The following is a 13923-nucleotide window of genomic DNA, read 5'->3' as shown; positions in this document are numbered from 1 at the left end:
GTGGTCCCACAATGCCGGCCTTCTCAGACCCTTTCCCACAACCCTCAAGGCCTTCCCGTAAGCCAGTAACTGCCACAGCATAGGAGGCCCAAGAACCTTTCTGCACCGTTACAGCAAGAGTCTGTGTTCACTGGTGTGACCTCATGCTGTCTGGTGTTAAATGGTTTAAATACCCACCCTATGTATTACTGTGCAGAACCATAATGGATGTGCATTAGAATAATCCGGAGTCATCGGGAAAGGATTCAGTGGTGTTCAGAATCCTCTGGTTAAGAAAGCAAAGAAGTGTTAGCAACAATATTGTGTATATTTCAAAATAACTAGAGAGGACTTGAAATGATACTAACACATAGAAATGACAAACATTCAAGGTGTTGAAGAACCCAAATGCCCTGACTTGATCATCACACATTCTATGCAGGTAACAAACACTCGCATGTACCCCATAAATATATAAAATATTATGTATCAATAAAAGAAAAAAAGAAAGCAAAGAAGTGGAAAATTTATTTCAGTAAATGTTCTTTTAATATGACCTAAAGAAACAAAGATTTGGCATTTGGAGAGATAAACTTTAGTTATCCAGATAAGTCATTTATGTGGAATGCTGTGTTCCTCAGAAGCACCAAGAAACCAGGTGTGGTGGCTCACACCTCTCATCCCAGCCACTTTAGGAGGCTGATGTGGGAGGATCTCTTGAGCCCAGGAGTTCACACACTATCCTGGGCAACATAGGAAGACCCTATCTCTACAGAAAAATTAAAAATTAGCTGGGCGTGGCAGTGTGTGCCTGTAGACCCAGCTACTTGGGAGGCTGAGGTGGGAGGATGGCTTAAGCTCAAGAGTTCAAGGCTGCAGTGAGCTCTGATGGCTTCCTCAAAAAAGGAAGAAGAAAGAAGAAAAGGAAAAAGGAGAAAGAGAAGGAGAAAAGGAAGAAGAAAAAGGAGGAGAAGAATAAGAGGAGGAGGAGGAGGAAGAGGAAGAAGAAGAAGATGAAAGAGGAGGGGGAAGAAAGGGAAGAAAGAGAAGAAGAGGAAGAGTAGGAAGGAGAAGAAGAAAGAAGAAGAGGAGGAAGCAGAAGAGGAGGAGGAGGAAGAGGAGAAGGAGGAAGAGGAGAAGGAGGAAGAGGAAGGAGAAGAAAAAGAAGAACCACGGGCCGGGCGCGGTGGCTCACGCCTGTAATCCCAGCACTTTGGGAGGCCGAGGCGGGCGGATCACGAGGTCAGGAGATCGAGACCATCCCGGCTAAAACGGTGAAACCCCGTCTCTACTAAAAATACAAAAAAAAAATTAGCCGGGCGTGGTGGCGGGCTCCTGTAGTCCCAGCTACTTGGGAGGCTGAGGCAGGAGAATGGCGTGAACCCAGGAGGCGGAGCTTGCAGTGAGCCGAGATCCCGCCACTGCACTCCAGCCTGGGCGACAGAGCGAAACTCCGTCTCAAAAAAAAAAAAAAAAAAAGAAGAACCACTAAGAAATCAGGATCTTACTATACACCAGTGATTCTCAGAGTGTGCCACAGACCAGCAACAGTAGCAGCAGCATCCCCTGAGAATTTGTGAGAAATGCGAATTCTTGGTCCCATCCCAGACTTCCTGAATCAGAACTTCTGAGGGTGGGAAACAGCCACCTGCATGTTAATAAGCCTCCAAGTGACTCCAGTGCATGCTTCAGTGTAAGAACCACTGCCATACCCAGCAGTCCCCACACTGGGTGGTATATCACATCCTCCTTAGAGCTGGTTATTTACACATGCAGATTAGATACCCAGGTCCTGCCTTCTGGGATCGTGCTTCTGCCAGTCCACAGATTGGCATTTCGTGATCACTGTTGTAAACTGCCACAAATTTTCAAGTAGAGGAAAAGGGTAATAGTAGTAAAAATATCTTATTATACATATGTACAGAGCCTGAAATTTATGTCTGCCACCTGTATTATTTTTTTTTCATATGCATTACTTCAGTTATGGATGAACATTTTACGGCAGACAGCACCCTTTTCTCTCATGAAGTCTTTCTTGGTCACCCTCATACCTGGTGAGAAGGATGCTCTTCTCTTTCCTGCCACTTCTCAACCTCACTGATAGCTCTTAACAGAGCTTATCATGTTGTATTGGAAATAATTCTGCAGACACCTTCCTCCCCTCCTGAGTTCCTCAAGGACAGGGACTAAGTCTCATTCAAATTTGTGTTTCCAGAAGTTTTAGTACAGGGCATGTAGTCAACAATGTTTATTAACATCTACTGTATGTCTAGCACTAGGGACACAGCAGTGAGCCAGGGGGAGCAAGGGCTGTCCCCATGCACCAGATGGCCCACAGTGATCACAACTGGGTAATTGTACATATGAAAGCTGTAACCCCAAAATAAAATTATAAGCTCCCCAACCGACTGAATGGATCCCCTCCCAGCCAAGGGGATTCCAAGAAGTACTGAAAAACTAGCTCAGGCCATGATAGGAAGGAGGGGGTCAGACATACCTCATTATACATTCTCTCTTTTGATGTTTAGGCGCAAATGACCATCATTAACATTAAAGTAGAGATCCAAAGACTGACAAAATAGACTCTTTTTAGCAATAAGACCCCAACTCCAGTCTGCTCTGGTGTAGCATCACATGACAGATAACAGGCTCTAAAGGTAATCAAAGTATTTACCCCAAAATATATTTTTTTGACATATTTTGGAATGGCCCTGCAAAGCCATCTCATGTGGGGAAAATTTACATTCTGTAAGGAATCTCCTTCCATTTCCAGGTCTTTTCCTGATCCAAGAGATTAACTAAGAGTCTGACACCTTTTAAGTTCTGATAAGAGACATTTACCATCTATTCTCCCTAAGGCTGCTACCTGGAGGCTTCATCTACATAACAGGACCTTGGCTTCCACAATCCCCCTTATCTTAACCCATGCATTTCTTCCCGCTGCCTTCAACAATTCAGGTGAAGCTGAACTCTTTCAACCAATTGTCAATCAGGAAATCTTTGAATCCACCTATGACTTGGAAGCCCCCACTTTGAGATGTCACAGTTTTCTTGGCCAAACCAATGTACACCTTATATGTATTGGTTTATGCCATTGCCTATAACTTCTAGCTCCCCAAAATGCATAAAATCAAGCTGTAACCCAGCCACCTTGGGCACATGTTCTCAGGACCTGATGAGGCTGTCACAGGTCATGATCCTCACATTTGGCTCAGAATAAACCTTTTCAAATATTTTACAGAGTCTGGCTTTTTTCCTCAACAAAGCATAATGACCAATAGTAAAGGAAAATTCTCAGGGTTTCCCAGTGAAGAGAAAAATGGGTCCCCAGAAATGGACCCATATTGCAAGCAGCCCGTCCTGGAGTGTGACTGTGCACTGAGTCAAGGTGGGTGAGGAGCAGAGAGGACCCCTCCACGCCTTATTAGGAAGTTGTGGTCATGGGCCAGCAGCAGCAGAGTAGGCAGGCTGAAAGGGACCTGAGCGTCACAGGATTTCAACCACTTGTTCATAGAGGCTGGTGTTTTATGACTTGACAGAAAAATATCAGTATATTGATGGTTTTGATAATTCATGTGGACTTTCACCAGGTCCTATAAGAAGGAGACAAGCCTTTTTCTAAGGTGCTATAGGACAACTGTCTGCATGGCCTTGGAGACCCAGCTCTTCCCCTCCTCACTGGTAGTTCCTAAGGACAACTGGAGAATGTGCTGGGAATGCGACAACCTGAGATAAGGAGGCACTGACCAGAACAGCCTAGGCTCTGTTCCCGTCTTCCTAGAACAGGATGTCCAGCAAGGCTTTATTTAACTCAGCGAAAACAGCCACCCCCACCCCCACCAAGGGGCACGCCTTTGGTGTCAAAGACAAGACTCCATCCGCCTTGGGCAGCTTTCCTGAACCCTGAGGGACTGGTCCGCCATGGGCCCAGGCTTCTACCATCTCTTGCTGCCTATCTGTGAGTAATAAAGCTGCTTTGCTGAAAGCTTGCTGTGTGAGTGTTCTGTCTCACCACAGTCATGCCAGTGGATTGATAACATTGCATATATTGGCAAAGTTTTTAGAGTCCTCCCCGCAATAGATGTGTCTGAAAAGCCTGAAAGTAGAAAGGAAAGGAAATGCATACTTGCTAGTGGCAGGCGCTCGCCCACAACTAAGAGTCAGTGTTAAAAACATGAAATTTCCAGCCCCAAAATAGAGTTCGTGAGAGCAAAGATTGGGAACATGAAGATAGTAATGCACCCAAGAGCACCCTCATGATTGCAGGCTACCCGGGGTCAAGGGCAAATTAGGCCATGTTCCTAGAGGTAAGAGCCAGGACAGAAGCCGGCTGGGACTGAGAAAACAATACCCTAAAATCAAGGCCTCAGAAGCAGAAGTTTCTCTCTGACCTTCTTTTGCCCTATTGTCTCTCAGTCCCATCATCCCCCAGGCTAGCCATAAAAACTAGAATCCCTCTTCCTCAAGGTAGGTCATAGAAACTAGAACCCCTTTTCCCCAAGGCCAGCCATAAAACCTAAAAAAAGCACTCTAACTTTTCCTCTTTCTGTGTAAAAACTGGCCATAAGAAAGTTATCTGACCTACCTTGTTTGACTGTAGGCCCTAAGTTCCTCATTGCAGAGAGGATCCCACTCCACACCAAGAAGGAAGATAGGCTGCTCCAAGAGAACGAGAAGAATCCAGACAGGCAGGCCTTGCTGGGTTTCCCCACTCAGTCTATTAACATTGGATCAGGGCTGGGCGTGGTGGCTCACACCTGTAATCTCAGCACTTTGGGAGGCCAAGGCGGGCAGACCACGAGGTCAGGAGATCAAGACCATCCTGGCCAACATGGTGAAACCCCCTCTTTACTAAAAATAAAAAAATTAGCTGGGCATGGTGATGCACACCTGTAGTCCCAGCTACTCAGGAAGCTGAGGTAGGGAAAGCTCTTGAACCCAGGAGACGGAGGTAGCAGTGAGCTGAGATTGCGCCACTGCACTCCAGCCTGGGGACAGAGTGAGACTCCGTCAAAAAAAAAAAGAAAGAAAAATTGGATCAGCCAGACACAGTGGCTCGTGCCTGTAATTCTAGCACTTTTGAAGACTGAGGCAGGGCGATCACTTGAGGCCAGGGGTTTGAGACACCCCTGAGCAACATAGCAAGACCCCATCTCTACAAAAAAATTCAAAAATTAGCCAAGCATGGTGGCACATGCCTGTAGTTCTAGATACTCAATAGACTGAGCTGGGAGGATCGTTTGAGCCCAGGAGTTCAAGGCTGCAGTGAGCTATGATTGCACCTTTTCTGTCCAATCATCTCTCTTCCTGGCTCTCCATACTTTGTTAAACCTAAGCATAAAAATGGACAATTTTCCTTTATCTTTTGGTCTTTATTCTGAAGGCTCCCATGTATACGTTAATAAATGTGTATGCCTTTTCTCCAAGTAATCTGCCTTTTTTGAGTAGATTTTTTCAGCAAACTTTCAGAGGGCGAAGGGAAAGCTTTCCCTTGACCCCTACAAGCCACAGAACTGAAGGTGAGGATGACAAGCAGAGTCTCAAGGCATTTTTAAAAAAGACAGAAGCCCCCTCAGGCCCAAGACAAGATCTCTGGCTTTGGTAACTAAGTGGACACATTGCAGATGGACCAGCAGCCTACTGAGGGATGACCAGAAGAATGCCAATAGTGGGTGGAAAACCCTGCCCCTCTACCATCCTAGGTTCAGGAGCGAGGGCCCTGCTAATCAAACTGAAAAAAGACAAATGAAGAGAAGAAAAGACATGCAAATTTTATTTGACATCATAGTTTTAGGAAGACATAGAGTCTTTGTATGTATATAGAGAGAGACCCAAAGAAGTACATAGGCTAGAGAGCTTACATACTACTTCAACAAAGAATGATAAATTGTGAAGCTGTGACAAGACAAAGGAAAAGGGAAGGCTTCTAAGGGCAATAAATTGTGGGAGGGTAAATATGTGGGGAAATTAATGGAAGATAAGGCTGCTTTAGTAAGGCTTGTCATGCAGGCTCCACTCACTGCTCTGGGCTGATAAGACTCTAGTCATCTCAGGTGACGAAGAGTTATTGTGCTTTTTCTGGTATGGGAGAGGGAGACACTTTTACAAATGGAAATTTATGTTCTGTTTTTAGCCAGATAGGGGAAGGACAGTAAGCCTTTTTTTTTCCTTTCTGCATCTGATGTTTCTTAATTGCCTTCAGCTCAAAATAACCCTTAGTCCAAAAGGCATATTTCAGGGTGACATATTATGGTCCCCTTCACAGGCCTGGCAAGCCTAGATCTGACCTATGTCATCAATCCGGCCAGCAATTGGTCTCTGCCGCCTCCTGCTTTGTCTTTATCTTCCTCTTCTGGTTGGTTGCCCCTCAGGCTCGGGGGCACAGCCTGGATTCAGCCTGCCACATCCTAGTTAGACTTGGAGTTTTATTTTGTCTTGGTTTTCAGTTTGCTTCTTTTATTTTGTTTTCTATTGTTAAGTAAAACACAGATACCAAAAATTACACAAAGCAAGTTTATGTCTTAATGAATTATCCTGAGCAACATCTTTGTTGATGCCTGCCTGAATCCAACTTCCCTGCATCACTGCTAGCCAGTAATGAGCTCTCCTTCCACTAGACTCTCAGCCTACCAATGGCCAGAACAGGCAGACATGTCTAATCACACTATAGAGAACAAGCCAAGCTCATCTACAGGCTGTAAACTCCACCTAAAATACTGAAACCATCCATCAGAATCTTTACAACCTGCTTTAAAGATGCACTTACAAGGTGATGACAGTTACAGTGATCATTCACTTCATTTTTTTAAAACAACCAGGACAATAAAACAGTACTTATAGAATAACTATCAAAAGCTAGGCAGTTTGCAGTTCCTCTCATTGATCCTAAGATAATATTCCTGTTTTATAGGTTACTACACTGAGTCTTGGATAAGTTTCATAGTTTTCCCAAGATCCCATGATCAATGTTCAAGATTCAACCTCAGTCTACCTGATGCAGAACTCTGGACCCTTCCCAGCTAACCCCACTGTCTTATGTCAGATTGTCAATAAATGTGTACTGAGCATGTATTATAGTCAAGGCATGCACAACATAAAATGAACCTCAGATTCCTAAGATGCTGTAAGTTATATAGAGGAGTCAAAAAGTATATAAATAGGGGCTGGGCACAGTGGCTCATGCCTGTAATCCCAGCACTTTAGGAGGCCGAGGCAGGCAGATCACCTGAGGTCAGGAGTTCAAGACCAGCCTGGCCAACATGGTGAAACCCCATCTCTACTAAAAATACAAAAGTTAGCTGGGCATGGTGGTACATACCTGTAATCCCAGCTACTCTGGAGGCTGAGGCAGGAGAGTCACTTGAACCCAGGAGGCAGAGGTTGCAGTGAGCTGAGATTGCACCACTGCACTCCAGCCTGGGTGACAGAGTGAGACCCTGTCTCAAAAAACAACAATAAAAAAAGTATGTAAATAGGTTGGGTGAGGTGGCTCACACTGGTAATCCCAGTACTTAGCCAGGAGTTTGAAATTAGCCTGGGCAACATAGTGAGATCCCATCACTACAAAAAATAAAAGATAATTAGCCAAGCATGGTGGCACGCGCCTGTAGCCCCAGATACTCAGGAGACTGAAGCAAGAGGATTTTTTGAGCTTAGGAAGTTGAGGCTGCAGTGAGTTATGATCATGCCACTGTACTCCAGCCTGGGTGACAGAGCAAGCCTCTGTCTTAAAAAAAAAAAAAAGTATGTAAATAAATTTGAGAAGGCTAAAAAAAAGTATCCATGAACTAAAAAGTGGTACAGATAAAGTGTCAATATGGCTCAGGGAAAGAAAAGCTTATCAATCTTTATCAACCATGAAGGGTCCCAGGGAAAAGGGGACATTTGGGTTTGGAGGGACATGTCAACCTGAAATAATCAAAAGGATCAGAATCCAGTTCATTTTTCTTTTTTGTTTTTTTTTTGTAGAGATGAGGCTTCATTGTTTTGCCCAGTCTGGTCTCAAACTCCTGGCCTGAAGCAATCCTCCTGCCTCAGCCTCCCAAGTCACTGGAACTACAGGTATGAGCCACCACGCCCGGCTTAGAATCCAGTTTTTAAAAGTTTATTCAAGCAAAAAGTTGTAAATTGGCATCCTAGAAACACATGCTCCAGAGAAATGGGGTCACTGCTCTGAAGTTCAAAGTTAAGGTCTTGTTTTTGTAAGAAGAAAACAAAGAAATTTAACAGGATTACAAAATTTTTTTATAAAAGGCTAGTTTATGAGTTACAATAATTTAATTAGTTACAGTTTGTTTTCTTTTCTGAAAGCCTTCTGATTTCTTTTCTAATTTAAAAGAATATATTTAACATTCCACCTTAGACTGTGTGATACTCATGAAGTCTGTGTGAGGGAGCAAAGAGGGAAGTTAATTTTACACTGAAGATCAACAGTGGAGAGGGAAGAGGTCTTCCATGGGACTGTTTAGTCATTTACAACATTTTACAAAACAATATAGGTAAGGAAGAAGGCCAATCTATGATCAGAGAAACTAAGGTTACAGCTCCTAGGTTACAACTGCCTGTCACATGACTCGGGTCCCAAAATCACATTCCCTTAAGGCTCAAAATAATTTAAAGTTTCAACAGCTTAGATTTTAAATTATTTTCACAGACATGTGCTGATGTGCAAAGGAAAGGTGCAGTATGCACCAAAGAAACAGAAAGTTCTTCTGACTAGTGTATCAGGCACTTGAGGGGTGGTGCTCATTATCTATTGCTGCGTGTGAGGTCAGCCCCGGAGAGCTTCTGTTGACCAGGGTGGGCTGAGCTCACTGCACTATCACATTGCACCAGCTCAGCACTAAACAAGCAGACCCAGCGACAAATTGGCTGCCTTTGCCCATCCACCTGTGCAAAGGAATCTGATAGTTTGACTTTTATATGCATGCATTTATATCAAAGTGTGATAGATGCCTGTTGGCATTTTCCAAATCATTTTTTTCAACCGCATATTCTTGATGAGGAAAACGTAACTGTTGCATGCTGAGATTTTCCCTGAACCCTCCATCCACTCAAGACAGCCTGTTCAAGAGTCCCCACTGTGGCCTTCCTTCTGTACGGCCTCTGTATGGCCTCCTGGAAGGGCAAAAACGTCAGCATCCATACATGTAAGTTTCTTTCTTTTCCAAAGGCCAAAACTAAGCTACAATGCTGCAGCTTTAGCTATTTTTTGTACTTGTTGACCTCTTATGATATTCAAGGCACTGAAGTAGATGGCAAGGTGAGCTTCCTGCCCCCAAGGACACACATGGAGAGTAAAACAATGATGTAAAGCAGTATACAGTTACTGTTATTAGCTTCACCTTTCTTGCTGTTTCCCCCAGCAGATTCCTAAGAACTTCTTGGGGAAAGGGATTATGATTTTTAACTTGTTTAACCTGTTCGTGAGTCAGTGCCTGGCACGTTGGTGACCTGAAACAAAGGTCGTTAAATGAAGGACAAATAAAATAGATGATGAAAGAATGGGTGGATCAATGATGGATGGATGGACAGATGAATAGATGGGTGAAGAATGGACACATGAATAGAAATTCAGAGTAGGGAGAAATTACTGCAGGTTGAAGTATGAAGGAGGAGATAAGGCTTGAGCTGGATTCATTTATAATAAAAATGCAGATGAAGCCTCATATCCAGGAGTCATCTTCTCTGATTTACTGATTCTTCCCAGAAGCAGGATACACCTCAGTGGCTCATTCTGTTCTGCCTTATGCCATTTTACCTCCAATTATCCCATTTCCCCTCTCTCCTGACCATTTAAATCTACTGTCCTTTGAAACTTAGCTCAAAGAAGCAGGGGAACTAATGAACAAACTGCAGTCCATCCCTATAATAATAGAACACAACTCAGTAATCCTAAGGAATGAAACCACTGAGATATGTGGCAACATAGATGAATTTTTTTTTTTTTTTTGAGACGGAGTCTTGCTCTGTTGCCCAGGCTGGAGTGCAGTGGCATGATCTCGGCTCACTGCAACCTCTGCCTCCCGGGTTCAAGCAATTCTCCTGTCTCCCTGAGTAGCTGGGATTACAGGTGTGTACCACCACACCCAGCTAAGTTTTGTATTTTTAGTAGAGAAAGGGTTTCACCATGATGGCCTGGCTGGTCTCGAACTCCTGACCTCAAATGATCCACCCAGCTTGGCCTCCCAAAATGCTGAGATTACAGGCGTGAGCCACTGCACCTGGCCGGATGAATCTTAAAAGCAGTATGTAAGTGAAAGAAGCCAGACAAAGAAGACTGCACACTGTTTGATTCCATTTGTATGACATTCTGGGAAAGACAAAACTACAGAGTCAGAAATCAGATCAGTGGTAAATAGGGGCTGGGAGAGGGGAAGGAAACTGAGTACAAAGGGACAGGGGAGAACTTTAGGGGTGATGGAAAATCCCTATCTTGACTGTACACAGCTATGTATTTGTGAAAGTCATCAAGCCACATTATACACCCATACACTATGCATACTATACACCTCAAAAGGGCACATTTCACTGTGTGTAAATTATATCTTAATAACCTTGACTTTTAAAAAGCCAAAAAAATGGGCTGGGCAAGGTGGCTCATGCCTGTAATCCCAGCACTTTGGGAGGCCGAGGTGGGTGGATCACTTGAGGTCAGGAGTTCAAGACCAGCCTGGCCAAGATGGTGAAACCTCATCTGTACTAAAAATACAAAAATTAGCTGGGTGTTAAGGCACATGCCTGTATTCCCAGCTACTCAGAGGCTGAGGTAGGAGAATCGTTTGAACCTGGGAAGTGGAAGTTGCAGTCAGCTGAGATCGCACCACTGCACTCCAGCCTGGGTGACAGAGCAAGACTCCGTTTCAAAACAAAACAAAACAAAACAAAACAAAAGGCAAAAAATTGAAACCTAACTTGTGTCCTCTTCTTAAAAGTTGACCATGACCACTCTTTGCTTCAAGTGTTCATTTATCCTCACAACTCCTTTAGCAATTAATTATGCCTTGTGAGCATCTCTTCTAGTATTGCCTTGGACATCGCTTACTTTTCACTGTTTCCTTTTTACATGTCCAGGTCTTCTCTCCCCAGCCAGATGGTAAACACCTTGGAAATGGGAACTATGGAGTATTATGCATCCTTCATCCACAACTATGAATCCAGGTCACTGACTGACACATTAGACACAAAAGATGTTCAACAAATATTTGTTGATTTGAGTAAAAAGCAGCTAAGTGAAGCTACTCGGTGTACTTCTTCAATCCAAAGTTGAATTTGATAAACAGGTTCACAAATGCATTTCTCCATTAATTACCAAACACAACTTTTCTCAACACCTCTCAGGGTGTCTAAGTCAACCACTCGTATATTTCACCCTCGGTGCTCTAGTTCATTTGTCCCTGACTAACAGAAGGGGCTGAAGATTTCCAAGTAACCCTAGACCAGTTTAGCATACCTCCCAGAAAGTGCTTGGACTGTGCCAGTGCTGATGCTGCCTTTTTTCAGCCTGTTGTCTTATTTCCTTGGCTGACAATTACTGGCCTCATTAAGCCCAGAGTTTCAGTATTTTAGGGGGGAAAATATGACAGAAATAATTATTATACTCAACAAAGTCATGTTCTACTTTAATATTACAAAAACCCAACAATTTCTATTTGATTCTCCTTACATCTAAAATGCTAGAGTTTCCTGTTTCCAAACTTGCCTATTTTCAATTCCTGGAAGTAAAACAGTGGCTACTTCCAGCCTTGGCTTCCCCCAAATTTCACTGAGTGCCACCATCTTGACCAAGTTCTTGTTTGTCTTATCACAGCCTTATAACAGGTAATTTAATTGTGATGAGTCTCCTATTGGGTGCAGGTCCTGTGCTCACTGAATCCCCCTGCTGCAGAGCTGCATTTCTTCCACACCACAGAGCTTGGCCCAAGACCCTTTCATTGGATTCCCATTGGCTTTCTCTTCCCTGGTGAATCTGTTTTCCATCAAACATGTGGAGACATCATTTCCTTCAGCCTGTGTTTCATGCACACCTGCCCTCACCCCAACTTCCCCTCCTGCCCATTGCTGGCCGTGTCACTGCTCCCGTGTTTAGCTCCCTCCTGATAAGGGAGGAGACCACCCCTCACATTGTCTTATGCCCAATTTCTGCCTCCAAAGAAAGAAGTAAAAACTAAAAGGCAGAAATGAAATCCACAAGCAGACAGCCCGGTGCCACACCTGGGCCTGGTAGTTAAAGATCCACCCCTGACCTGATCGGTTATGTTATCTATAGATTACAGACATTGTATAGAAAAGCACTGCGAAAATCCCTGTCCTGTTCTGCTCCATTCTAATTACCAGTGCGCGCAGCCCCCAGTCACGTACTCCCTGCTTGCTCAATCGATCACGGTCCTCTCACACGGACCCCCTTAGAGTCCTGAGCCCTTAAAAGGGACAGGAATTGCTCACTTGGGGAGCTCGGTTGTTAGAGACGTGAGTCTTGCCAAAGCTCCCGGCTGAATAAAGCCCTTCCTTCTTTAACTCAGTGTCTGAGGGGTTTTGTCTGCGGCTTGTCCTGCTACACTGAGACAAGCTCTCCTGACCACAGGAACTGGGAACTGTGCTGAAGTGTCCTTGACTTCTCCCCCAGGAGCCAGCTTTCTTCTTTTCACTTCCTTTATCCCTTCCTTCCTTCTTTCCTTCCTCCTTCTTTCTCTCCTTCCCTCCCTTCCTTTCTTAATTCTGACACTAAATAAGGTAACACAACAATATCTCAACCAAAACAGCCCTCACCATAAAAATAACTGAAAACACTAGTAAAGAGATTTTTTTTTTTTTTGAGATGGAGTCTCACTCTGTTGCCCAGGCTGGAGTGCAGTGGTGCAATCTTGGCTCACCACAGCCTCTGCCTCCCAGGCTCAAGTGAATCTCCTGCCTCAGCCTCCTGAGTAGCTGGGATTCCAGGCATGTGCCACCACACCTGGCTAATTTTATATTTTTAGTAGAGACAGGGTTTCACCATGTTGTCCAGGCTGGTCTCAAACTCCTGACCTCAGGTGATCCACCTACCCTGCCCTCCCAAAGTGCTGGGATTACAGGCATGAGCCACCACGCCAGGCCTAGTAAAGAGATTTTAATCAGTATATAGAAACATTTGCAGATTAAAGAACGAAACCCCTATCTTTAAACTTTTAAGTTTAAAGACCTATCAAAAACTCTGAAAATTCTAAAATTATTCAAGTTTTAGAAAATTACAGCTCTAAATAATGTTCCAGTCACTCCAATTGTTCTCCTATTTCTCTACGTGCGCCTCGAAGTAAGTTGATAAATGGGTTTGTCGTTTATGCCCATTTTAGCGACGGGTGAGGTCACTAAGGCAGTGAAGCTGTGCACATCCCAACGACAGAAGTGGACCACCATTAAACCCAGGCTCTAGCAGGTGAACCCCACCAAGAGCTCAGCCCAACACCCGAAATAGTTAGAATGTGCTACAATAACCTAGGACGTGACTAGGACTGAGACCACCTCAAAGTGACCCACAAAAGCAGAAGCGAGTGCGTAGAGATGAATGTGTACAAACACGCAGAAAGAAAAGTTTCAGGTCTGGAAAAGACAGGTCCATTTAGACCCTGCAGCACAGACCCATTTGTGCTATTTAAACTCCTGCTAAAGCATCCAGCTTGAGGCTCATGGCTGCTCACCGCTGCCCTGGAAATCCTTGATTGCTTTCTAGGCAGAATCACCTCGGCAATGTTTCTCCGGTTATTCACTGTCTTAGTCCCAAGCACGGAATGAGCCAGTTCTCTATATTAACAAGGCTAAGGAAGTGGGAAAATTATCTTCAGAAAAGTCCAGAGAGAAGTGACTGAATCCTGTTTTTTGTTTTGTTTTGTTCTGTTTTTTTTGAGATGGAGTCTCGCTCTGACGCCCAGGCTGGAGTGCAAGGGCGCGATCTCGGCTCACTGCAAG

General features: G+C 44.2%; 1 protein-coding gene across 7 annotated transcripts in view, besides 2 other annotated features; it reads right to left on the bottom strand.

The window, feature by feature from the left end:
• Window positions 1–13923, bottom strand: part of ATP8A2 (ATPase phospholipid transporting 8A2) — a 653878-nt gene that overhangs the window by 624996 nt on the left and 14959 nt on the right. The gene's annotated exons all lie outside the window — the stretch shown is intronic.
• Window positions 2350–2951: an enhancer, noted in NCBI's record as "NANOG-H3K27ac hESC enhancer chr13:25972043-25972644 (GRCh37/hg19 assembly coordinates)". NCBI's record gives its function as "activates a minimal SCP1, AML or CMV promoter by ChIP-STARR-seq in naive H9 embryonic stem cells {active_cell/tissue: H9 hESC(naive)}" and the evidence as "EXISTENCE:reporter gene assay evidence [ECO:0000049][PMID:30033119]".
• Window positions 2952–3553: an enhancer, noted in NCBI's record as "NANOG-H3K27ac hESC enhancer chr13:25971441-25972042 (GRCh37/hg19 assembly coordinates)". NCBI's record gives its function as "activates a minimal SCP1, AML or CMV promoter by ChIP-STARR-seq in naive H9 embryonic stem cells {active_cell/tissue: H9 hESC(naive)}" and the evidence as "EXISTENCE:reporter gene assay evidence [ECO:0000049][PMID:30033119]".

The sequence above is a fragment of the Homo sapiens genome, chromosome 13, assembly GCF_000001405.40.
Source record: "Homo sapiens chromosome 13, GRCh38.p14 Primary Assembly".
In the NCBI taxonomy this organism is placed as follows: domain Eukaryota; kingdom Metazoa; phylum Chordata; class Mammalia; order Primates; family Hominidae; genus Homo; species Homo sapiens.
The sequence above is the reverse complement of the archived record's forward strand: the minus strand, read 5'-3'. Positions and strand labels throughout refer to the sequence as shown.